The sequence below is a fragment of the Homo sapiens genome, chromosome 1 (genome assembly GCF_000001405.40).
Source record: "Homo sapiens chromosome 1, GRCh38.p14 Primary Assembly".
Classification (NCBI taxonomy): Eukaryota; Metazoa; Chordata; class Mammalia; order Primates; family Hominidae; genus Homo; species Homo sapiens.
Genome location: NC_000001.11, coordinates 148,889,331 through 148,916,217, shown reverse-complemented (window position 1 = coordinate 148,916,217; position 26,887 = coordinate 148,889,331). Strand labels below are relative to the sequence as shown.

Sequence of the window (26,887 nt, the reverse complement as noted above, 5' to 3'; positions counted from 1 at the left end):
TTTCATGTTGAAATGATAATGTTTTAAATGTATTATTAACATTAATTTCACATATTTCTTTTTACTTTTTTTAATGTGGCCATCAGAAAAATTTAAATTACATGTATGGCTTATATTTACGTTGGACAGCACTGTTCTATAAGATGTTAGGAAAAAGATGTATTTGCTTTAAGTACTTTGCATTAAGACATAGTCTGACCTGAATCACAGTTAATCCTGTGGTCTCATAGCATCTTGGAGAGTTTTGTGGGGTGCTGGCATCCATCAACCAACAAAATACCAAAATGACTCTAGGTAATTATAAGTGAAGCAAAACCACTGGGCAGGGATGATAACAGGCACTGTACTTAACAGGAGTCAGCGTATCACAATGCTGCTCGGACTATGTTCAGACACTAAACTCTAAGTGTCATGAGGGCAGGGACTCCCTCTATCTTCTCACCACTGTAGCATTGCTAGCACAATGCCCACACACAGAAGATAATGATATATTTATCAAACAAATGGATGCTGTTCAAAATAAAAATATAGCTCTCTTGAAAAACAATTCTCCCTGCAAGAACTTCCTCTTCTTACTGTTTCTTTTCTCAATTTTTTTGCTTCCTACTTCCACCAACCCCTCTTGCAGAGACTGCTCCATTCCAGTAAAAGGTGAAGGTTCAACTGGAGACCTCCAAAGTCGGCTGGGCCTAGGGTTTGGGTAGGCAATTGCTGGAAGAGCACAGAGAGGGAAAGATTTCAGGCAGTGGTGATAAGAAAAGGCCCACCTGGGTCAGGTGTGGTGGCTCACGCCTGTAATCCCAGCACTTTGGGAGGCCGAGGTGGGCGGATCACGAGGTCAGGAGTTCGAGACCAGCTTGGTCAACATGGTGAAACCCCGTCTCTACTAAAGATACAAAAAAATTAGCCAGGTGTGGTGGTGTGTGCCTGTAATCCCAGCTACTTGGGAGGCTGAGGCAGGAGGATCGCTTGAACCCAGGAGGCAGAGGTTGTAGTGAGCCGAGATTGCACCACTGCACTCCAGCCTGGGCAACAGGGACATACTCTGTCTCAAACAAACAAACAAACAAACAAACAAACAAAAAAACCAGAAGAAAGCACTGGCAGTCTCTTACCGCCATATCAATCCATCTACACATCTCGGGTTACATTCTCTGTCTTTCCACTTATAACCATAGATCAACTATCCATGCTCCTATCTAAAGCCAAACCTTCCACTTATGTATTAATTAAGTCCTATTCCCCCTACCTCTCAAAGGCAACACCTAGAAGGTCTCCCCTGCTTCTCTTTATCAATATTTCACTTTCTAATGGAAAATTCTGTTGGCATACGAACATGCTATTATTCATTTATCTTTCTAGAAATCCCCTATGGACCTCATACCCTTATCAGGTATGCCCCATTCCTTTGCTCTCCTTTGAAACAAAACTCAAAGTAATTATTCATCCTCATTGACTCCAATTCTTCTCCTCACATTGTTTCTTAAACCCACTGCAAGCAGGCTTTTGTCTTCACCACTCCACCAGAATTACTTTAATCAAGATCACTAATGACATCCATGTTGTTAAATCCAAAGGTCAATTCTTTTTTGAGACAGAGTCTTGCTCTGTTGCCCAGGCTGGAGTGCAGTGGTGCAATCTCGGCTCACTGCAACCTCCGCCTCCCGGGTTCAAGTGATTCTCTTGCCTCAGCCTCCTGAGTAGCTGGGATTACAGGCATGCGCCACCATGTCCAGCTAATTTTTGTATTTTCAGTAGAGACCGGGTTTCACCATGTTGGTCAGGCTGGTCTCAAACTCCTGACCTCAAGTGATTGGCCCACCTTGGCCTCCCAAAGTGCTGGGATTACAGGCGTGAGCCACCACGTCTGGCGGGCCAAAGGTCAATTCTTAATCATCGTATTACTCAAGCTCTCAGCAGGATTTCAAAAGGTGGATCCTGTCCTCTTCACTACACACATTCTTCATTTGGCTTCCGGGACTCCAGACTTTTTCTCCTACTTCACTGGTTTGTACCTTCTCTATCTTCCTTTTCTGATTCTTCCTCTTTTCTCCAAATTACTAATGTTGGAGCTATACAGGACCAGTCTCTGGTCCTTTTCTCTTCCACCTGGAAAGGTCTAACTCCAACTCCTTTGGTGATCTCCTATGGTTTCATGGCTTTAAATATTTAAATTTAATATTTAATGATCTATTTGCTGATAACTCCCAAATTTATGTCTCTAGCCCTACTCTATTTCCTGAACTTTAGACTTACGTATTCAACTGCTTACTTAATACTGCCACATAAAATGTCTAGCAAATAGCTTACACACCAAATTTCCAAAACTGAACCCCTACTCTCCACCTTCAAATCTGCTCCATCCGTAGCCTTCCCTATCTCAGTTATGGCAACTCCATCCTTCCAGTTGCTTACTCCAAAAACCCTGGAATTTTCCTTGATTCCTTTATTTCTCTCCCATTCTGTATCCAATCCATTGGCAAAATCCTTTTAGATTTGCTACCTTCACCACTTGTTCCCACATGCATCACTATTACCTAAGTCTGATCACTATCAGCCCCTACATACATTACTGCAGTGTCTTCCTAAGAGTCCTCCTGGTGTCTACTTTTGTTCTACAGCCTATTTGCAATACTGTAACCAGATTTATCATTTCAACAAGTCAGACAGGACTGGCATTTGTTAGACCCCTCCTCTGCTCAAAACCCTTCAATAGGTTCCCATGTCACTCTGAGTAAAAGCTGAAGTCTTTAAAATCATCTACAGGGACTTACTACACAAGCCCCATACCCTCTGGGGCCTCATCTTCCAGCATGCTTAATCTTGATTATGCTGCATCAGCCACAGTGGCTTTCCTGATGTTTCTCTGCCTGGAATATTCTTCCCCCAGTTCTCTGTTTGGCCAACTTCGTCATCTCCTTCAAGTTGCTATTTGAAAATTATTTTCTATGGCATAGCCACTTTGAAAAATAGTTAGACAGTATCTATTCAGAAAATAGGCAGAAATACCGACTGGGCATCCCTAATCTAAAAATTCAAAATCCAGCATGTTCCAAAATCCAAAACTTTTTGAGGACCAACATGATACCTCAGGTGGAAAGCTCCATACCTGACCTCATGAAAGGTTGCAGCAAAAATGCAGGCACAACACCCAGTTTATTCAGCATCCCCAAGAGAAAAACATAATTACCTTCAGGCTATGTGTACAAGGTGTATATGAAACATAAATAAATTTCATGTTTAGACTTGGGTCCCATCCCCAAGATATCTCATTATGTATATGCAAATATTTCAAAATCTGAACACATCTGAAAATCTTCTGGTTCAAGCATTTCAGATAAGAGATATTTAATCTATATATACTTATTATATAACCTAACAGTTCCACTACTGGGCATTTACCCAAAAGAAATAAAACAAAGACTTGTTACATGAATATTCATAGCAGCTTAATCCATAATAGCCTGTTACTGAACACAAATCATACATTCATCAACAAATGAATGAATAAACAAATTGTATTATATTCATACAATGGAATACTACTCAGCAATAAAAATGAATGTACTACTGATACAAATAGCATGGATGAAACTCAAAATCATTATTCTAAGAGCCAGATACTATAGTCTGTATTTTATGATTCACTTTCAATGAAATTCTACAATAGACAGAACTATCTATCAACAGAAAGCAGATCAGTGGTTTTCTGCAGCCAGAGGTATGAAAGGTTTGAAACACGTGGCACCAGTAGGACATATGGAAACTTTTTTGGTGTGATGGAAGTATTTTTTTATCTTGATTGTGTGGTGTTTGTTATACAGTGGTATACATTTGTTAAAATTTATCTAACTGCATACTTAATAAAGTTTATTTAAACAAAACATGAAAGGAAAAACTAAAATGACATAGCAAGTGGCAATGCAAACTGCCAAGTGCAAAGAATGAGTAAAGAGCTTGGTTGGCATGGAGACTACCAGTCTAGGATGCTTTTATTGCCTCAGGTCAGCTTGGAAGGCCATAAATGCTGTGAAGGTAAACCTAGAAACAAATCTTCCTGCACTGGTAACTGTCATGTTTATTTGCTTCCCTTTCCATCCCATCCTTTCAAAAAAAAAAAGTAAAAGGTAGTGTGGTCCACAAACTACCGTGTGGCTCCCCATGATCCCCGCCTCTTGGTGTTTGTGCCCTTGTGTAACTCCTTCTCTTTGGGTATGAGCAGGCCCTGCGACTTATTTCTAACCAATAGAATATGGCAAAGGTGAAGGAATGTCACTCCTGTGATTATATTAAATTTCAAGGCTCTCTTGCTTGCAGATTTGCTCTAGAGCCTCTCCTTGCTGACTTGAAGTGGCCATATGGGGAAAGCTCACATGGCAAGGAACACTAGGTGACTTCAAGGAACCCTGGACAGCCTCTAGCCAACCTCTGGCAAGAAGTCAAGGCCCTCAGTCCTACTGCTACAAAGAAATGGATTCTGTTGACAGCCCAAGTGAGCTCTGAGTCAGATTCCTCAGTCAAGCCTCTAGAGGAGAATGCAGCCTGGCCAATACCTTGGCTGTAGCCTAGGGAGACCCTAAGCAGACAACCCAGCTAAGCGGTGCCTGGATTCCTGACCCACACACACTGTGAGATAATAAATGTGTTGGGGGGTGAAGGAGGGATGGGGGTAGGGGTGGCTGTGCATTTGGGTATGGAAGGGTGTTTTAAATCGCTTTCTAAACACGGCCTCTCCTGGCCACTCCTTAATACTGCAACCTGCTCTCCACTCCTGTAATTTTTTTTCAACATTTGTTTTAGGTTCAGGGGGTACATGTGCAGGTTTGTTACATGGGTAACTTGCATGTTGCGGAGGTTTGGTGTATGAATGAACCCATCACGCAGGTAGTAAGTATAGTACCCAATAGTTAGCTTTTCAACCCTCGCCCCCCTTCTACCTTCCACTGGGGTAGGCCCCAGTGCTTATTGTTCCCATCTTTGTGTCCATGTCTCAAAGTTTTGCTCTCACTTATAAGTGAGAACATGCAGTATTTGGTTTTCTGTGCCTGTGTTAATTAGCTTATGATAATGGCCTCCAGCTGCATCTCTTTTGCTGCAGAAGACATGATTTCATTCTTTTAATGGATGCATAGTATTCCGTGCTTTATATGTACCGTATTTTTCCTCCCCAGTCTACTGTTGATGTGTATCTAGGTTGATTCCATGCCTTTGCTATTGTGGATAGTGCTGCAGTGAACATGTAAGTGCATGTGTCTTTTTGGTAGAACAATTTATTTTCCTTTGGGTATATATCCAGTAATGGGATTCCTGGGTCAAATGGTAGTTCTCTTTTAAATTCTTTGAGAAATCACCAAACTGCTTTCCGCAGTGACTGAACTAATTTACCTTCTCACCAACAGCGTATAAGCACTTTTCTCTACAACCTTGCCAACACCTTATTTTTTGTTTTTCACAGTAGGCATTCTGACTGGTGTGCAATGGTGTCTCATTGTGGTTTTGACTTGCATTTCTCTAATGATCAGTGATATTGAGCATGAGAATTTTTTCAAATATTTGTTGGCCCCATGTATGTCTTCCGTTCATGTCCTTTGCCCATTTTTTAGTTGGGACAAGGTCTCGATCTGTTGCCCAGGAGTGCAGTCTGATCACTGGAGTTCAGTGATACAAACACAGCTCACTGCAGCCTTGACCTCCTAGGCTCTAGCAATCCTTCCACCACTGCCTCCCAAAGTGCTGGAGTTTCAGATTTGAGCCACCACACCTTTGCTCATTTTTGAAGTGGGGCAAGACCCCCACTTCGTAGGACTATTACTTGATTGAGATTAAATATGTGTAAAATGCATAACATGGTGCCTGGCTTATAGTAAACACTAAATGGATTTCTTCTTCCATAGGATTTAAATAGGGAGCAATTTTTTTTCTATCAAGAGCTGATCAGAAATAAATGGGAAGCATTTAAATGCTCTCCTTCCCCTGCCCCAAGAGGACTTTCACTTTCCAACATTCTACATACTTTATTTATAATATTTATTGTTTATTTTCTGTCTACTCATGACAGACTATAAGTTCTATGAGGATGGGAATGCCTGTATGTGCTTATTATATGACCTAACAGTTCCACTACTGGGTATTTACCCGAAAGAAATAAAACAAAGACTTATACATGAATATATTGATATATACTCCAGTCACCTCCAATAGAAACTAGAACACAGTAGGGGCTTAGTACATATTTTTAAATGAATGAAGACTAATGTTTAGTTTAAACTAGGATTGACCTATTCTTATCTTCGGCAGAGACAGAGAATAACTAATTACCACTTGTCACATATTGAGACTTCAGTACCTAAAAGGCATTATTAGGTCACCTGTAAGTCTGTTTTCCCCCAAAGTAAAAATCCCAATTCCATTGCCCTTTTCACATAAGCCTCATTTTCTAACCTTTTTAGTTTGGTTTAACGAATTTCCTATTTCCTCTGAATTCTGGAGTTCCAAACCAGACTCAGCACAAGCCTAACAGGGCAACCTATACAGATAAGGACAGCCCAGGCACATTGCACACGGCAAGTTGCACCTGTTTTAAGAGTAAAAATGAGGTCAATGCCACCTTGTACTGCAGGTACCTCAATGAGACAATGCCACCCCTTCCTGCCACAATCTTGGCAAAAGTCACTACGAAAGTAAATATCATTTTACTAGAGTCCTTTCTTTCTCTCCAGTGAATAACACAATGTAGTTATTCACTGGAAAACATCATTTGCATTTGAAAGAGTTACTAACTAAATTCTAAAGAATGTACCAAAGCCTTGCTTAACTGTAGAATGAGGCCACACGGCTGCTGGGATACCAGGTACTCTCCCTGAGCCTATTGATGGCAAATTTCATCCTGTGAAAAATGGGAACAAGACACCCACTTCATAGGACTATTATATGGTTGAAATTAAATATGTGTAAAATGCATAACATGGTGCCTGGCACACAGTAAACACAAAACAGATTTCTTCCTCTATAGCATTTAAATGGGAAGTATTTAGCGTTTACTTGCCATGTGCATGAGTGAATTTGGGAAAAGTGGGGGGAGGATATGGGGCAAAGAAGGACAGAAAGGGCCTAAGAGTAGGAAGAATTTAATACCAGAAGATGGGACAAGACCTGGGTCTAGAAACCTCTTCTGCAGATAAAGTAGCTGCAAATTATAGGGAAGGAGTCCTCAGGCTGCTTTCCTTATAACCATTTATTTTCCTGCACCTTATATCAAGAACGTTAGGCACTGGTTAAGACCCTGTCCCCTTGCAGCAGTAGAGAAAACAGGAGGAAGGAGACGGGAGGTAGAAATTTGGAAGCTAGCAGTTGAAGGCCAACTCAGAAAGCGTCAGGTGGAATTCCATTCCTAATTGACATCACCATCCTCTAACTGCAGCAATTCTCTCCAGCCCTTTTATGTGCTCCCTACAGAACCAAGCTTCCACACAGCTGAAGGAACCTGTCTGCTCTCACCCCAGCTTCACAGAAGATGGCAGGGACTGGTTATTACTAACCTGCCTCCTAGTCTTCTGAGGCTCCAAATGGTTTTGTCAGCAAGCTGAGCTTCCCCACAATCCCACAGACTAGAAGGGGTTGGAAAGAACAAGCCTTAGAACAATACTGCTCCCCACCTCTAAGGGATCTGCTCCTCTGAGTCCCAGAAGTTCACCGCCTTCATTTGATTTCTGCTACAGCAAGACTCTGGGAATCCAGCTCTGGACCCAGCACTTCCTGATTTTTGAAGTAGAGAGTTGACAACCCTGTTGTCATCAATACAACTGTGCTAGGTGGGTGGGAAAGGAAAATATCTTGGGCTCCCAAAATCACTAAGCTAAAAGGAAAACTCAGGATCATGGTGGATGGAAGTCAGGACTAGATTGCAGCTCCGACTCGGATGGACAGAGAAGCATGTGGAGGCTCATATCATGAATTTTTGCTCCAGAACGACTGGAGGAATAAATTACAAAACCTGAGAGGACCCACAGGCCCCCTGAAGGAAGCAGATGGCTCCTGCAGGACCCAGGAGACACACCAAATACTGTGTTAGTATTTACTTATAGAAATGCAAAATGGTCTGGAAAGTCTCAGCCATAGAATCAAACAAGTAGAAGAAAGAAATTCAGAGCTCGAACACAAAGTCTTCAATTTGACCCAATCCAACCAAGACAAAGAAAAACAAATAAGAAAATATGAACAAAGCCTCCAAAAACTCTGGGATTATGTTAAATGACCAAACCTAAGAATAATTGGCATTGCTGAGGAAGAAGAGAAATCTAAAAGTTTGAAAAACATATTTGGGGGAATAATTGAGGAAAATTTCCCCAACCTTGCTAGAGACCTAAACAAATACAAGAAGCACAAAGAACACCTGGGAAATTTATTGCAAAGAGATCGTCACCTAGGCACATTGTCATCAGGTTATCTAAAGTTAAGACAAAAGAAAGAATCTTAAGAGCTGTGAGACAAAAGAACCCAGTAACCTATGAAGGAAAACCTGTCAGATTAACAGCAGATTTCTCAGCAGGAATCCTACAAGCCAGAAGGGATTGGGCCCCTATCTTCAGCATCCTAAAACAAAACAATTATTAGCCGAGAATTTTGTATCCAGTGAAACTAAGCTTCATATACGAAGAGAAGATACAGTATTTTTCAGACAAACAAATGCTGAGAGAATTTGCCACTACCATGCCAGCGCTACAAGAATTGCTAAAAGAAGCTTCAAATCTTGAAACAAAACCTGGAAACACATCAAAACAGAACCTCTTTAAAATATAAATCTCACAGGACCTATAAAACAAAAATACAATTCAAAAAAACAAAAACAAAACCCAAAAAACCAAGGTATACAGGCAACAAAAAGCACAATGAACGGAATGGTACCTCACATCCCAATACTAACATTGAATGTAAATGGCCGAAATGCGCCACTTAAAAGATACAGAATTGCAGAATGGATAAGAATTAACCGACCAACTATCTGCTGCCTTTAAGAGACTCACCTAACACATAAGAGACTTATCTGACACATAAGGACTCACATAAACTTAAGGTAAAGGGGTGGAAAAAGACATTTCATGCAAATGGACACCAAAAGCAAAAGCAAGCAGAAGTAACTATTGTTTTTTTGTTTTTTTTGGTTTTTTTGAGATGGAGTTTCACTCTTGTAGTCCAGGCTGGAGTGCAATGGCGCGATCTTGGCACACTGCAACCTCCGCCTCCCAGGTTCAAGCAATTCTCCTGTGTCAGCTTCCCAAGTAGCTGGAACTACAGGTGTGCACCACCATGCCCAGCTAATTTTTGTATTTTTAGTACAGATAGGTTTAGTACAGGCAGGGGTGATCTGCCTGCCTTGGCCTCCCAAAGTGCTAGGATTACAGGCATAAGCCACCGTGCCTGGCCCAGCAGTAGTTATTCTTATATCAGACAAAACAAACTTTAAAGAAATTGCAGTTAAAAAAGACAAAGAGCGGCATTATATAATGATAAAAGGCCTTGTCCAACAGGAAAATATCACAATCCTAAACATATATGCACCTAACACTGGAGCTCCCAAATTTATAAAACCATCACTAATAGACCTAAGAAATGAGATAGACAGTAACACAATAATAGTGGGGGACTTCAATATGTCACTGACAGCACTAGACAGGCCAATGAGACAGAAAGTCAACAAAGAAACAATGGATTTAAACTATACCCTGGAACACATGGACTTAACACATATATACAGAACATTCCATCCAACAACTGCAGAATATACATTCTATTCAACAGTGCATGGAACTTTCTCCAAGATAGACCACATGGTAGGCCACAAAACAAGCCGCAATAAATTTAAGAAAATTGAAATTTTATCAAGCACTCTCTCAGACCACAGTGGAATAAAACTGGAAATCAACTCCAAAAGGAGCTTTCAAAACCATGCAAATACATGGAAATTAACCTGCTCCTGAATGATCATGAAATCGAGATGGAAATTAAAAAAATCTTCAAATTGAACAAAAATAGTGATACAACCTATCAAAACTTCTGGAATACAGCAAAGTCAGTGCTAAAAGGGAAGTTCATATTCCTAAACACCTACATCAAAAAGTCTAAAAGAGCACAAACAGACAATCAAAGGTCACACTTCAAGGAACTAGAGAAACAAGAACAAACCAAACCCAAACCAGCAGAAGAAAGGAAATAACCAAGATCAGAGCAGAACTAAATGAAACTGAAACAAACAAACAAAAAATACAAAAGATAAATGAAATGAAAACCTGGTTCTTTGAAAAGATAAATAAAGCTGCCGGGCGTGGTGGCTCACGCCTGTAATCCCAGCACTTTGGGAGGCCAAGGTGGGCGGATCACAAGGTCAGGAGATCGAGACCATTCTGGCTAACATGGTGAAGCCCCGTCTCTACTAAAAATACAAAAAAGGTGTAAGGAAGGGATCCAGTTTCAGCTTTCTACATATGGCTAGCCAGTTTTCCCAGCACCATTTATTAAATAGGGAATCCTTTCCCCATTGCTTGTTTTTCTCAGGTTTGTCAAAGATCAGATAGTTGTAGATATGCGGCATTATTTATAGGTGGGAATTGAACAATGAGAACACATGGACACAGGAAGGGGAACATCACACTCTAGGGACTGTTGTGGGGTGGGGGGAGGGGGGAGGGATAGCATTAGGAGATATACCTAATGCTAAATGACGAGTTAATGGGTGCAGCACACCAGCATGGCACATGTATACATATGTAGCTAACCTGCACGTTGTGCACATGTACCCTAAAACTTAAAGTATAATAATAATAAAATAAAATAAATAAAAAATAAAAAATAAAAATAAAAATACAAAAAATTAGCCGGACGCCATGGTGGGCACCTGTAGTCCCAGCTACTCGGGAGGCTGAGGCAGGAGAATGGCATGAACCCGGGAGGCGGAGCTTGTAGTGAGCCGAGATCGCACCACTGCACTCCAGCCTAGGCGACAGAGCAAGACTCCATCTCAAAAAAAAAAAAAAAAAAAAAAACCTAGAAGAGATGGATAAATTCCTGGAAAGATACAACCCTCCTAGCTTAAATCAGGAAGAATTAGATACTCTGAACAGACCAATAACAAGCAACAAGATTGAAATGCTAATTTAAACATTACTAACAAAAAAAGTCCAGGACCGGATGGATTCACAGCAGAATGTAACCAGGCATTCAAAGAATTGGTACCAATCCTATTGACACTATTTCATAGGATTGAGAAAGAGGGAACCCTCCCTAAATCATTCTACGAAGCCAGCATCACCCTAATACCAAAACCAGAAAAGGACATAACCAAAAAAGAAAACTGCAGACCAATATCCTTGATGAACATCGATACTAAAATCCTTAACAAAATACTAGCTAACCGAATCCAACAACATATCAAAAATATAATCCACCATGATCAAGTGGGTTTCATACCAGGGATGCAGGGAGGTTTAACATACGCAAGTCAATAAATGTGGTACACCACATAAACAAAATTAAAAACAAAAATCACCATGATCATCTCAATAGATGCAGAAAAAGCATTTGACAAAATCCAGCATCCCCTTATGATTAAAACTCTCAGCAAAATCAGCATACAAGGGACATATCTCAATGTAATAAAAGCCATCTATGACAAACCCACAGCCAACGTAATAATGACTGGGGGAAAAGTTAAAAGCATTTCCTCTGAGAACTGAAACAAGACAAGGATGCCCACTCACACCACTCCTCTTCAACATAGTTCTGGAAGTCCTAGCCAGAGCAAGACAAGAGAAAGAAATAAAGGGGATCCAAATTGTTATAGAGGAAGTCAAACTGTCACTATTTGCTGATGATATTATTGTTTACTTAGAAAATCCTAGAGTCCTCCAGAAAGCTCCTAGAACTGATAAAACAATTCAGCAAAATTTCTGGATACAAAATTAATGCATGCGAATCAGTAGCTCTTCTATACACCAACAGCGACCAAGCTGAGAATCAAATCAAGAACTCAACCCCTTTTACAACAGCTGCAAAAAATAAAATAAAATAAAATACTTAGGAATATACCTAACCAAGGAGGTGAAAGACCTCTACAAGGAAAACTACAAAACACTGCTGAAGGAAATCATAGACGACACAAATGAATGGAAACACATCCCATGCTCATGGATGGGTAGAATCAATATTGTGAAAATGACCATACTGCCAAAAGCAATCTACAAATTTAACACAATTCCCATCAAAATACCGCCATCATTCTTTACAGAATTAGAAAAAACAATTCTAAAACTCATATGGAACCAAAAAGGAGCCCGCATAGCCAAAGCAAGACTAAGCAAAAAGAATAAATCTATAGGCATCACATTACCTGATTTCAAACTATACTATAAGGCCATAGTCACCAAAACAGCATGATACTGGCATAAAAATAGGCACAGAGACCAATGGAACAGAATAGATAACCCATAAATAAACTCAAATACTTACAGCCAACTGATCTTCGACAAAGCAAACAAAAACATAAAGTGGGGAAAGGACACCCTTTTCAACAAATGGTGCTGGGATAATTGGCTAGCCACACGTAAGAGAACTAAACTGGATCCTCATCTCTCACCTTACACAGAAATCAGCTCAAGATGGATTAAGGATTTAAATCTAAGTTCTGAAACTATAAAAATTCTAGAAGGTATCATCGAAAAAACCCTTATAGACATTGGCTTAGGCAAGGATTTCACGACCAAGAACCCAAAAGCAAATGCAATAAAAACAAAGACAAACAGCTGGGACTTAATTAAACTAAAGAGCTTTTGCACGGCAAAAGGAACAGTCAGCAGAGTAAACAGACAACCCACAGAGTGGGAGAAAATCTTCACAGTCTGTACATCTGACAAAGGACTAACATCCAGAATCTACAACAAACTCAAACAAATCAGCAAGAAAAAAACAAACAATCCCATCATAAAGTGGGCTAAGGATATGAATAGACAGTTCTCAAAAGAAGATATACAGATGGCCAACAAACATATGAAAAAAGGCTCAACATCGCTAATAATCAGGGAAATGCAAATCAAAACCACAATGTGATACCACCTTACTCCTGCAAGAATGGCCATAATCAAAAAAATAAAAAAATAGTAGATATGGATGTGGATGCAGTGAACAGGGAACACTTCTACACTGCTTGTGGGAATGTAAACTAGTACAGCCACTATGGAAAACAATGTGGAGATTCCTTAAAAAACTAAAAGTAGAACTACCATTTGATCCAGCAATCCCACTACAGGGTATCTACCTAGAGGAAAAGAAGTCATTATACAAAAAAGATACTTGAACACGCATATGTATAGCAGCACAGTTCACAACTGCAAAAACGTGGAACCAACCCAAGTGCCCACCAATCAATGAGTGGATAAAGAAACTGTGGTGTGTATATACACACACATATATATATATATGATGGATATATATATATATATATATATATATGATAGAATACTACTCAGCCAATAAAAGGAATAAATTAACGCATTCACAATGATCTGGATGAGATTGGAGACTATCATTCTAAGTGAAGTAAGGCAGGAAAGGAAAACCAAACATTGTATGTTCTCACTCATAAGTGGGAGCTAAGCTATAAGGATACAAAGGCATAAGAATGACACAGTGGACTTTGGGGACTCAAGGGGAAAGGGGGGGAAGTGGGTGAGGGATAAAAGATCACAAATAGGGTGCAGTATATACTGCTTGGGTGATGGGTGCACCAAAATCTCACAAATCACCACTAAAGAAATTACTCATGTAACCAAACACCATCTGTTCCCCAATAACCTATGGAAATGAAAATACAAAAAATAAAAGGAAAACTCAAGCTGGAAACTGTTTAGGGCAAACCTGCCTCCCATTCTATTCAAAGTTATCTCTCTGCTCACTGAGATAAATGCATATCTGATTGCCTCCTTTGGAAAGGCTAATTAGAAACTCAAAAGAATGCAACCTTTTGTCTCTCTTCTGTGACCTAGAAGCCGCCTCCCCCACTGCAAGTTTTCCTGCCTTTGCTTCAAGTTGTCCCGCCTTTCCAGACCGAACCAATGTACTTCTTACATACATTGATTGATGTCTCATGTCTCCCTAGAATGTACAAAACCAAGCTGTGCCCCAAACACCTTGGTCACATGTCATAAAGACTTCCTGAGGCTATGCCAGGGGCACGTGTCCTCAACCTTGGCAAAATAAACTTTCTAAATTTACTGAGACCTGTCTCAAATTTTCGGAGTTCACAGTGGGCAAGACTAGATTTACTTTTGTGTTGGGCAGATACTGAACTTGACTGATGAGAATCTGGAGTGTGAGGTCTGACGGAGTAACTCTGAGAGAGGAAGCTACCTGTGTGGTCTCAGGGAGAAGATCTGAGACTTACCAAGAAAAAGTGACCTGAAAGAACTGGCTGACTTCAGGCCCTTGACCAGTGCCTAGACCCTCTTTCTGCAGCTCCAGATCATAGCCATCATGCTGGCAGCCTCCCTGCCGCTCATCCAGGCACCTTAAAGAAGGGCTTCCTCTTCCCAAGCCTCTGGGTGGGCTTTCTAAAGCCCTGTGTGCATGAAGAGGTGGCTTGTAGCCCTTTGCAGCAGCAGGGCTTACATGAGGCTGGGATATGAAAAGCTGGCATTACAATGCAGCTTGTGCCTTGCATTCACTCCCCACTTCATCAAGCCAAGTTTCTAAATAACAGGGATAGTAACTGCCCACTGTGGCCCAATGTCACTTCTAAAGTTGCTTGGCAAAAAGCCACATGACTATTACTTAGCTCTCCACAGAACGGCATGTACCAAGTCGGATCACTGCTGTCGGTGTGTGGGTGGATTAGCTGCTATTGAACATGATAGGGCGGGCCCCTTTCCAGTTTGCACCAGCCCCGCTCTGTGCCTACTCCATGTATCATAGAGCCTCCTCTCTCTGTGCAGTTGAACTTGATCAGATGAGATGGCAAAAGCCAGAGCAGGGAGCAAGGCAAAAGAGAAAAATATGTTCACGGTGACTTTTGAAAACATATGGATGAAACTCCTGAGGAGGCTGAGGAACTAAACCTTTTCTTTTGGCAGTAGGCGCAGAGTGCAGATTCATCTCTCTGTGAATTACTCTAGCTCCTGCTGTGTGAGTTCTATTTTAGCCCAGTAATGCAAAAAGAAAGAAAAACTAAGTTCTGACAAGCACTTACATTTCTTGAATTTTTGTTGAAGGTCCCAGAGGTCATTGTAAGCAGCCTGAACAGGTAGTTAGGGCTCCTGGATTCTAGTCTCAGCTTGGCTACTAATTTACCGTGTGACGTTAGGCAAATTACTATTCTGAGCTTTAGTCATCTTATCTTTAAAATGAAGGGTTTATTCTTTAGAGGAAGCTGAGTGAATGGCATACGGGAACACTCTGTACTATTTTTATAACTTTGCTATAAGTCTAAAATTATTTTTAAATAAATGGTTTTCTTAAAAAGTGAAAGGATTATGTAGATTATCTTCAAGATCCTCTCTACCTCTGAATAATGATTTTATGTTCTTACTTATCTTCCTTCAGGTGAAAGTAAGTCTCTTTCCAGCTATCCAAACATATAACAGAGTGGAATTTTTCCTCACTCCTTCTGCCCCAGGCAAGATGTTGATCAGCCCCAACACAAACCTGTTTTCTGCTTTAAACATATCCTATACCTAGGGCAAAATTTAAATTATCTAAAACACATTTAAAAACACCCCATCCATACCCACTTTGTTCTTTCAAACAAGTAAATTCACCCAGCAGGGAAAAGCTGTTGCTGGCAGTCCATGCTTACAGAATCTCAGCCTTGCCCTAGCAACGAGGCTAATTATAACTCCGGCTACCTGGTAACCGCACTAGATTTCCCTGCATTGGCTGGCAGTTCTAAAGCCATCTCAGCTCTGCCTGCCACCTCCCATCCTGAGAAGCTGTCAGAGAAGCTGAGAAACTATGAGTCTCTTTTAAGCAACTATCTAAGCTGTGGTGAGAACACCCATGTATCATAGAGCTTCCTTTCTCTGCGCCCAGAGAAAGGCTGCCCAGAATCACAGGACTTCAGAACTGGGAGGGATGTGTGCGTCAATCCTGGTCCAGCCCACTCATTTAAACACAAAGAACCAGAAGCCCAGAAAAAGTGACTTGCCTTAGCCTGGCCTTCCTCTTGATTCCTTTCCCTCAATTCTCCCGTCCTGATCAATCATCAAGTCCTACAAATATTTTACCTCTTAAATATTTTAAAGATGAGTTGCCTCCCCTCTATTCCTACTGCCACAGCCCTCATTCGGGCCTTCATCTTCTTTGGCTTGGCAAGTCTGTTCTCACTCACTTCCTGCCTTGACTCTCTTGAATCCACCTTTCCCATGCATCAGAGGGATCTAGCAGGTTCCCTGCAGCTTAAAGCCCATCAGTGGTGCCTTGTCTTCTTCAGGATAAAGTCTACACTCTTTAAAATGGCACAAAAGACTGTGTCCGTCATATCAGTCTCATTCTTCGCCTAGTACTTAAATCCACCAACACCAAACCACTTCTAATTCTGTGCAAGCACCCTATGGTTTCTTGCCTCAAGGCTTTTGCTTGTGACAAAAACTCTGTCCTTCCACTTCATCATCCATTGACTGATTAGTGCTTATTCCCCTTTGAAGACAAAGTTCAGGGGTCATCACGAATAATCCTTTGCAGATTTTCTTTCCATCCACTCTATTCATTTGGGATAGAAGTGCCCCCTTTGAGTTTCCTTACACTTTGTACACAGCTCTGTTACTGCCTTTTACTATACTCTAGCACCTGTGGTTTACTCATCTTTGAAGTCCCAACTTCTAGTACTTGGAACATAGCAGGTACCTAATTAATGTTTATTAATGAATGAATGGATAAGTCCAAAGCTTTCCATGATTTCTCCCCTGCAGCCTCATCTTACCACCACCACAAGCCCTCCAAACCACATGATCTAGCCATACTGAATGATTCCAGTGTGCCAAGTGCACATTGCTTTTGTACACCTCTGCTTTTGTATATTGTTTCTTCTGTTTGAAATGCCTTTTCCCACCAGGCGCATTGGCTCACACTTATAATCCCAGCACTTTGGGAGGCCGAGGTGGGTGGATTACCTGAGGTAAGGAGTTTGAGACCACCCTGGCCAGCATGGCGAAACCCCATCTCTACTAAAAATACAAAAATTAGCCGGGCATGGTGACACACGCCTGTAATCCCAGCTACTTGGGAGGCTAAGGCAGGAGAATCGCTTGAGCCCAGGAGACGGAGGTTGCAGTGAGCCGAGATCATGCCACTGCACTCCAGCCTGGCCGACAGAGCAAGACTCTGTCTCAAAGTAAAAAAAAAAGAATTTCTGGATTTTCCAGGCATGGTGGCTCATGCCTGTAATCTCAGCACTTTGGGAGGCCGAAGTGGGTGGATCACGAGGTCAGGAGATTGAGACCAGCCTGGCTAACGTGGTGAAAACCCGTCTCTACTAAAAATATGAAAAATTAGCGTATGTTTCACAGCATCTGTAATCCCAGCTACTCAGGAGGCTGGGGCAGGAGAATCGCTTGAACCTGGGAGGTGGAGATTGCAGCAAGCCAAGATGGCGCCACTGCACTCCAGCCTGGGCCACAAAGTGAGACTCCATCTCAAAAAAAAAAAAAAAAGAAGAAAAAAGAAATGCCTTTTCCCATTTCTTGTTATGTTACTACCTTTTAGGATTCAATGCAAACTTCAAACACTTGGCAAGGCCTTTCCTGGTGGATTTTATTGCACTATAGCAAAATCTGTCCATACCTCTATGGCAGCCCTTATTATACCATTTTTATTTATTTGTTGATGTCTTCTCCACCAGAATCTAGCACAGTAGCTGGCATATAGTAGATAATCAATAGACGTTTGACTGAATATACCAATGCATATGCGCAAATATGAGCAAAAAAATGACTAAAATGATATTGCAAACAAGGGAAACATTTGAGACAGAAATTTAGAATGTCTATTTTTTTCAAGTGTAACATGCTACTTCTATCAGTGCATAAACCTGAATGTACATACACTATAGAAAGAAGTGGCCTTGTAATAAGTTCATGCAGAAGTATAAATTATGTAGACATTGTTAGGGGGATAACTGAAAGTGGATTAGAATTAAATTAGGGCCCAGAATTTAGTCTGGGATTTGTTTTCCAGTGGTTGAAAGAAAAATTCCTAAGTATTCAAAGGGAAGAAGCATTTCTCAACAGGCAAGTATTATGAATTCTAATTAAAAGCTCTGAAAAAATGAGATAAGTTGTGTTAAGGAAAAGCAGAAAACAGAGTTGCCTTTGGTTAAGAGTTCCACTATTTTTATAAGCAACTGACTTTTTTGGGGAAAGTTGCTTTAAGCATTTTTTTTTCTGTGTGTATGTGTGAGATGGGGTCTCACTCTGTCACCCAGGCTAGAATGCAGGAGCACAATCATGGCTCACTGCAGCCTCAACCTTCTGGGCTCAAGCAATCCTCCCACCTCAGCCTCCCAAGTAGCTGGTACCACAGCCACACACCACTATGTCAGCTAATTAAAAAAAAAAAAATTTACAGAGATGCAGTCTTGCTATGTTTCCCAGGCTGGTCTCAAACTCCTGGGCTCAAGTGATCCTCCCACCTTGGCCTTGCGAAGTGCTGGGATTACTGACATGCGCCAACATGCCAGGCCTAAACATTTTGTGTGTGTGTGTTAAAATATACATATAATAAAATTTGCCATTTTAACTATTTTAAAGCATATAGTTCTATGGCATTAAGTACATTCACATAGTTGTTCAAATATCACTATCCATCTCCAGAACTTTTTCCCAAATGAAACTGTAGCCACTAACTCCCCATTCCCTCCTCCCCACAACCCCTGGCAACCATAGTTCCACTTTCTGTCTTCATTATTTGACTACTCTAGGTACTTCATTTAAGTGAAATAATAAATATTTGTCCTTTAGGGACTGACTTTACTTAGCATGACATCTTTAAGGTTCACTCATGTTACAGCACATGTCAGAGTTTCATACCTTTCTAAGGCTAAATAATATCCAGTGTCTATATAGCCCACATTTTGTTTATCCACTCATTTGTCAATGAACACTTGAGTTGCTTCCACCTGTTGGCTACTGTAAACAATGCTCCTATGAACACAGAAATACAAATATCTATTTGAGTTCCTGTTTTCATTTATTTTGTGTTATACCCAGAGTAGAATTGCTGGATTATACGGTAAGTCTATGTTTAATTTTTTGAGAAACTCCATACTGGTTTTCACAGCACCTGCACCATTTCACATTCTTTCTAGCAATGTGCAAGGGTTCCAATTTCTCCACATCTTTACTAGTATTTGTTATTTTCTGGGTTGTTTGATTTTTAGTATAATAGCCATCCTAATGAGTGTGAAGTTTAAAAAAATATTTAACCAAAATCATAAATATTGGTTACAAATATTTAATGGATGGATTCCCTCTATTTCTGCCAACTTTCATTCCCTGAAAGAAGAAATAGGTAAGCATGACCTCACGAACCTCAGAAGGCTGAGAATGGGGAATTGGCACACACAGTGTGCGTAGACACAGACACACATGGACCATGTTCATACTAGGCTTCCAGAGAACCATTTAAAAATAGTTTGGCTAATGTAATCTTGTCTGTCTCTTATGTTCCTCCTTTCCCATCATACACATTTCTTAAAGTTCGTGTAAGTAAAACATAGGAGAAAAAAACATAGCCACTAATTAAATAAGGCATCCAAGTGTAAAAGAAGAGCAAACTCTGCTACATATAAGAAGACAAGCATTAATTCTGGCAACAGCAGCCACACAGCCACTTTAGACAATAACCTGAGCAGGTGCATGCTTTCTAGTATGTGTCTCCAGCTATGCAGGATAGAAATCACAATCCTTTCTATTTATCTAACGTCTAATACACTAAAACATGTTTACCCATGGGGGAGAAGAGCACGACAGGAATTGATGACTCTAATTTAGGAAACTAAGGTTCACAGAAGTTAAGTGACTTGGCCAAGATCATGTAGCTAGAAAAGGCAGGTTAAGAATTCAGGTTTCCTTAGAGTTCAAAACTTTTATCACAACATTTTTGATAACCCCCCAAGATACTCATCCTTCTCTAATAGCCTTCCTTTGGTTCAAGTCCAGCTTCCTAAATCCTACCGCCTGATGGAGTTCCTGAGCTTCCTTGTAAGTCTGCAGGTATATTGTTCCTCATCATGTTGCCCAAAGCCTAAAGAAATCAGGCTAGGACCAAAGAAAATCAGTCAATGAGCCAAAAAGAAATTTAATCAACCCAGCCTTTCTTATTTATTTTCTTTGAATGAACATTTGTATCTGAGAATGCCAAGGTAAATTTGATGCAATAGGGACACTTGGATTATATTATGTTATTTACACACAAGCAAACAAAAATTGAGAATTGAGACAAATAGGACAAATGGTCCCAAGTCCACTATTGAGGAAAAAGAAACTGATTTGGAATAAAAAATAGTCCAGCATGAATGTGTCAGTAATTAAGACTTATCTGGATAAGTTTGCCGTCTCTCAATTTGTCACAATAATGGCAAATATTTATTGAGAGCTTACTATGTGATAGGCATTATGCTGAGTTCAGCTAATTGACTCATTTCATCCTCCTCTAGACCCTATAAGATAGGTGTTATTACTGCCCTTGCTTTAGCTCAGAGAAATTATGGTATTTTTCCCAACACAAATAGTAAGTAGAAAAATCAAGATTTCACCCCAGGTCTCGCCAATTTATAGCTCTTAGCCGTTATGCCCAGCAATAACAGAATAGTAAAAACAAGGACAATTTGGTAGGCAAGTAAAATCAGTAGGCTGTTTACCATAGCTATAGAAGTATGCTATGCATAAACCTCAAAGATTGCGCAGGAAAAGTATCATCCAATCTCAAAGATGAGAAAACCAAAGAAGTTTCAATCTCAGAGAAGTCAGGCAGCTTAAGGGTCATAAAACAACGCAACACAACTCTCTCAACTCATATCTAAGGGCTAAGTCCACTTTAACCTTCCAATATCATTACATCATATTTAAACATTGACTCTATCTGGTCAAGGACGACAACATTTTATTTCTCCTGACCCTTTTGCTATCAGATCTGGCCTTGTCAGTTTTTCAATTTCATTCTTAGAATGGAAACTTAATTCACACAAGTTGAACAAGTAGTCATCAGGGGGCAAAACCCAGTGGATGATGGTTTTGTGTGCTGTTTGGAGACTGGGTGTTTACCACACAGCAGTGGATTTCATAAATTCCAGGGTCAGACAAGATTCCAGTAGCGACACACTTGACTAATATGAGAAAATGCAGGATTAGGCAATCAACAATGAGGAAGTCAGCCAAGTTGCCACCCAAAAATTACTTACCACAGCAGCTGCAGTCCAGAAATGCTAACAAGCCAGTCTCCCTAGGAGTGGGCCATACTCAGCTGTGGACCACTCACAACATTTTCTCACTTTATTTTGCTTCAGAGTCAGTGTACTGCAATGATTTCTCCTTTGCTTGCTTTATATGTTTAAAATTGTCTTCCCTAAAAGCTGAACTTAAAATTAATGTTTGCTACCAAAAGGGGGTAGCAGTGCCTAGTCATGTAGGCATATGTCCCACTCTGTCGGTACAGAGGGTAAGCAGCCTCTTCCTTTTTAAAAAATTTATTATGATGATTTACAAAAATTGAAGCTTACAGGATAAACACTCAACAAAAAAGTAGCCAGTCTCAAGAAACCAATTTTTATGTATGAATTAATATTATTTTATTAATCCATGGCCAGGATGATTCTTAAGATTATTTCTCAATTCTCTGAACAGCTTAAAAGAGAGAAACTCCTTCTTTTTTATTTACTTGCTTTGAGGTTGATACTCTTAGGTTTTTAACATAACTCTCTAGCTTTGACAACTCCTCTTATAATTTAAAATCCTTATAGCTTCCATTTACAAGTAAGGATTATATCTATTTTAGTCTCCTCAATCAGCTACCTAGGAGAAGACTTGCCACTTGGAAAGAGAAAGATAGCACCCACTCTCCAGTTCTCTTCTCCCAAAGTTGCCCGTATTTCCCTTCCCTGAAGCCAATCAAATACTTTATTGTTTCTCGCTAAGAGTAATTTTTCACTCTTAAGTACAAACAGCTCAACAAAAATTCCCGGTAGCATAAATATGCACATCAATAAAATAATTACTACTCACAATAGACTTTCCATTACATATGTTTCACAAGCATTGGTTTTCTTAAAAAGAACCACGCATACAGCACTCAAATTATTGCAGATTCTAACTCAGTAGAGTTTGATTTAATGTTTTTACAATATTTTTTTTAAAGAAGTGTCCTTCCAACGCTAAGGAAAAAAATCAGAATCAAGAAAATTCTGTTTCTTAGCAACAGAAAAATCAAACTTCTGTTACTAAGTTTGGTAACAGAACAGTACTCTAAATTATCCTCTGAACCACCTGATTTACCATGTGATGCTGGGCACATTGCTGCTAATTAATCTTCCTAATCTCGTGGGATCACAATATGAATAACAAGAATGAACATCAGACACATCTGTGGGAATTATGAGGGGGAGATTATAAAGAGTCAAACCTTGTCCCCATATTTAAATTTTATAATAACTATAACTACTAGTAGAAATATAATTACTACCCTCTCATATATATGTGATGTTATTAAGTTTATAAAGTGTTTTGATATGTTTCTTATTTCATCTTCATGGCTGCTATTTATTCATAGAAAAATAATTCTCAGTATCTGTAGCATTATTGTTAATGTCAATCCTATAGAGGCTGGAACAGGCTCAGAGAGGCTAAGTAACTTGCCTAACTAAGTCTCCTGGTTGACAATAGGTCTTAATGCAGTGTTTTCCGAATCCCTCGTTCTTACATCAAAACAGAACTGTGGTTGGGTGTGGTGGCTCATGCCTGTAATCCCAGCAATTTAGGAGGCCAAGGTGGGAAGATCACTTGAGCCCAGGAATTTGAGACCAGCCTGGGCAACATAGTGAGTGAGACCTCAATCTCTGCCAAAAAAAAAAAAAAAAAAATACATACACACACACACACACACACACACACACACACACACAGACACACACATATATATATAAATAATTAGCCAGGTGTGGTGGCACACCTGTGGTCCCAGCTACTTGGGAGGCTGGGGTGGGAGGATCATTTGAGCCCAGGAGGTCAAGGCTGCAGTGAGTCGTGACGGTGCCACTGCACTCTAGCCTGGGTGACAGAGCGAGACCCTGTCTCAAAAAATAAAATAAACCAGAACGGCTCTAGTTCCTATCAATCACTCATCATGACATAGTGTGGTAAACTAATTTCAACTCTGAATGATTGATAATGGCTTTATGTGTTCTGTTTCCCAAGTAATAAGAACATTTTAGCACAAGCCTTTAGCGCTTTTCAAATAATCATAGCCAAATGAGAAAATTAATATGACAGGCAGATTGAACAAACATTTGATGAGAAGGAAGAGGAGGGGATACAGTAGTTTGAGATCCCTCAAATCATATGATGCAGTAGCTGCCTGACAACTCTGCTAACACGTAAGACTAGATAGAGACAGGGCCATATCTACTTCCTGTATGGGACCCATGGCAATACTAGAGTCCAGCAAAAGGGTTGTCCTCTCTGCATGTGACAATAGGCTGTGTTCCACTCCCCCCACATACACCTTGTGCAGCTCCTATAATCTCATTTATCACACTTCTCCAGGTGAGAAATGGTGCCTTCTCACACCCCACCCAAAGTTGTTTCCTAAAGATCTTTCGCTAGGGCGGAGCAGAGAGTGAGATCAAATGATCCAGACAGCCATCTGATTCAGCTTTAAAAAAAAAAAAAATCCTGGTGGGGCGCAGTGGCTCACGCCTGTAATCCCAGTACTTTGGGAGGCTGAGGCGGGTGGATCGCCTGAGGTCAGGAGTTTGAGACCAGCCTGGCCAACATGGTAAAACCCCGCCTCTATTAAAAATACGAAAATTAGCCAGGTGTGGTAGCAGGGGTCTGTAGTCCCAGCTACTCCAGAGAATCGCTTGAACCCAGGAGGCGGAGGTTGCAGTGAGCTGAGATCGTGCCACTGCACTCTAGCCTGGGCGACAGAGTGAGACTCTGTCTCAGAACAACAACAACAACAACAAAATCCTTTCCCTCAAATTACCTAAGAAATTGTCCTTTCCTTCTTTGCCCTGAAGACAGTTAATGGGGAAAGTTCCTCCCTCTGCACAGTGAATAAATCCATCCACTATTCCTACCCTAACCCTAAGGCAAAACCTCCCACTCATCCTCCGTCTCTCGCCATCTCTCTGTTACCAACCCTCACTTGGCAATATCCTTCTTGACACGTGGCAGCTCCAATGAGGCACACTCATTACATAGCCACGTAAAAGATAAAAGGTGAATCTGGACCAACTTCTGGAAAATTTGGACTTAAAACATGGAAATGCAGGAGAGACAGGAAATAGAGTTAAATCCCCCAGATTTAGCTATACACATTAATTGAATTAACTAAATAATCATTTGGGTCTCATAGACACCAGCTATTTCCCTGATCCAAGATGTTATCTAGCAGCCTGTATCGCTTCCCAGTCATCCATCCTCTTGACAGGACAGAGCACACATAGAAAATGGTATTTGTATAGCCCTCTGGGGTAAACAGTTGGAGAGTTAGAATCTCTGATAAGGTCAGAGGCAACCAGTCCCCGGTCACTTGGGCCACTTCAGGTCCTGCTTGTCCAGACACAGAGAGGGCTGAGGAAACCAATATTGTGGTGACCAGCTACGAGGCTTAATCCTCATAACCCATAGCCCAATGTCCTCTTATCAAGGTGCTGTCCTATCTCACCCACAGCTCAGCCAATCCAGTAGGTCTTCCTTCCCCACCCTGATCACTGACCCATCAATCAAGATAGCCCTCCCATCCAAGGAAGAGGCCATTTCCCCTCCCACTCCACCCAGGCCAACTGCTATCCCACAGGTTACTCTCTTCTTCATTTTAAGGCAAGCTATTCCAAAGACTAAAAATGCCTAAGATTCTGTCTTAAAAGCTTATCTGCATAGTCATCTTCAAAAGCAAACATGAATTTCTCAAGGAACGGAAACACCCTTAGCCCCTGCCCTTTTCTCCATAGCATCATTCTCTGCCCCACCAAGCCGGAGCTAGGAGGGCACTTTCTCTAGGAGAGGTATGACCTGGAGATGATCTGCTTCAGAGCCACCTCAGGGATCTTGCTTAAAAATGCATATTTTCCCAGGCAAAGTGGCTCATGCCTATAATACCAACAACAGTGGAGGCTGAGGTGGGAGGATCTAAAGGCCAGGAGTTTGAGACCAGCCTGGACAACATAGTGCCACCCCTTTGGTACGAATTTTTTTTTTTTTTTTTTTTTTGAGACAGACTCTTGCTCTGTCACCTAGGCTGGAGTGTAGCGGCGCAATCCCGTCTCACCGCAACCTCCGCCTCCTGGGTTCAAGCAATTCTCCTGCCTCAGCCTCCCAAGTAGCTTGGACTACAGGCATATGCCACCACACCCGCTAATTTTTGTACTTTTTAAGTAGAGATGGAGTTTCACCATGTTGGCCAGGCTGGTCTCGAACTCCTGACCTCAAGCCTTCTGTCTTCCTTGGCTTCCCAAAGTGCTGGGATTACAGGCATGAGCCACTGTGCCCTGCCAATTTTTTTTTTTTTAATTATCTGGGCCTGGTGTCCTGTGCCTGTGGTCCCAGCTGCTCAGGAGGCTGAGCCAGAAGGCATCACTTGAGCCCAAGAGTTGGTGGCTGCAGTGCTATGATGGTGACACTGCACTCCAGCCTGAGCAACAGGGCAAGACCTGTTTCTAAAATAAATAAATTTTAAAAATGCAAATATCCACCCCAGCCCCACCCTCTCCCCCCACCTTCCCCCACATTACTACATCGGAATCCCTAGGGTGAGGCATGGAATCTACATTTTAAACCAGCTCCCAAGGTGATTGTTCCGCACAGTTCCACGTCAGTGTTTGAGAGAGGCTCTGATTTATTCCAGTCCTCTTTCTTTACAGAGAAGGAAAGCAGAAAGCAGGCACCAGAGAGGTGAAATGAGCTTGTCCAAGGTCACAGGTTGTTAAGGTGACCAGAGCTGGACGAAACCCCACCTCTCTCGCTGACTAGCACAGCGCCAGCTAGGAAGAGCCTAGAATAGCGACCAACTGGCAGGCCAAACCGTCCCCTGCCCCTGCCCCTGCCTCGGAGAAGCGGGCCCCTGCACTCACCCGCTTGTAGATGTCCTCCCGGCTGGCCTCATACTTCTGTTGCATGCGCTCCTCCAGGAAGTAGATGCGCAGCTTGAGGCTGAAGTTCTCCTTCTTCAGGTCATTGAGGTGCTGGGACAGAGTGCGATATCCATTAGACATGATGGGCAACCCATGGGGAGGAGCGTGCCCGATTGCCCCCTCAACCCAGGAACATGGTGCAGCTGCACCGCAGCATGAAGCCAGCCGGCTGGGACGCTGCTGAGGCTGCGGACCGAGAGGCTGGGGCTACGGCGACATGGCCCCTATTGCTGGAGCTCTCTCCGGGACTCGGGACTGGGCTCACTGCTCTGGGTGCTGGAGCGCAGCACACTTTCCTTTTTTACCTCAGGGAGATATTTGCGGAATCCCTGACAGAGGAACATGCTGCGTGAACTCAGACACAAGTGGTGTAACCCGACTCCAAGCCAGGACTCTGCTGTCACCCTCCTGGAGCCTCCCAGGCCCAACTGTAGGCAGTTAACAGCTTCTCGGAAAAGAGAGACTGACCCCCAAGAGCTTCCAGGAAAGGGGGAGGGGAGATAT

At 41.5% G+C, this 26,887-nt stretch overlaps 1 protein-coding gene across 40 annotated transcripts in view, besides 3 other annotated features; it reads right to left on the bottom strand.

Annotated features, from left to right (window-relative positions):
* Window positions 1–26,887, bottom strand: part of PDE4DIP (phosphodiesterase 4D interacting protein) — a 224,583-nt gene that overhangs the window by 116,799 nt on the left and 80,897 nt on the right. For 30 of the 40 annotated variants that reach the window (NM_001377392.2, NM_001350521.4, NM_001395298.1 and 27 more), the window contains one exon: window positions 26,324–26,434. The exons of 5 other annotated variants lie outside the window; for them this stretch is intronic. In NM_001377392.2, the coding sequence (NP_001364321.1) occupies window positions 26,324–26,434 (111 nt within the window). Of the gene's footprint in view, window positions 1–26,323; window positions 26,613–26,688; window positions 26,756–26,887 lie in introns of those variants that run through there. 5 more of the 40 variants (NM_014644.7, NM_001198834.5, NM_001002812.4 and 2 more) reach the window with 2 other exon arrangements.
* Window positions 8,184–8,759: an enhancer, noted in NCBI's record as "NANOG hESC enhancer chr1:144976465-144977040 (GRCh37/hg19 assembly coordinates)". NCBI's record gives its function as "activates a minimal SCP1, AML or CMV promoter by ChIP-STARR-seq in primed H9 embryonic stem cells {active_cell/tissue: H9 hESC(primed)}" and the evidence as "EXISTENCE:reporter gene assay evidence [ECO:0000049][PMID:30033119]".
* Window positions 25,625–26,244: an enhancer, noted in NCBI's record as "H3K27ac-H3K4me1 hESC enhancer chr1:144993892-144994511 (GRCh37/hg19 assembly coordinates)". NCBI's record gives its function as "activates a minimal SCP1, AML or CMV promoter by ChIP-STARR-seq in primed H9 embryonic stem cells {active_cell/tissue: H9 hESC(primed)}" and the evidence as "EXISTENCE:reporter gene assay evidence [ECO:0000049][PMID:30033119]".
* Window positions 26,245–26,865: an enhancer, noted in NCBI's record as "H3K27ac-H3K4me1 hESC enhancer chr1:144994512-144995132 (GRCh37/hg19 assembly coordinates)". NCBI's record gives its function as "activates a minimal SCP1, AML or CMV promoter by ChIP-STARR-seq in naive and primed H9 embryonic stem cells {active_cell/tissue: H9 hESC(naive and primed)}" and the evidence as "EXISTENCE:reporter gene assay evidence [ECO:0000049][PMID:30033119]".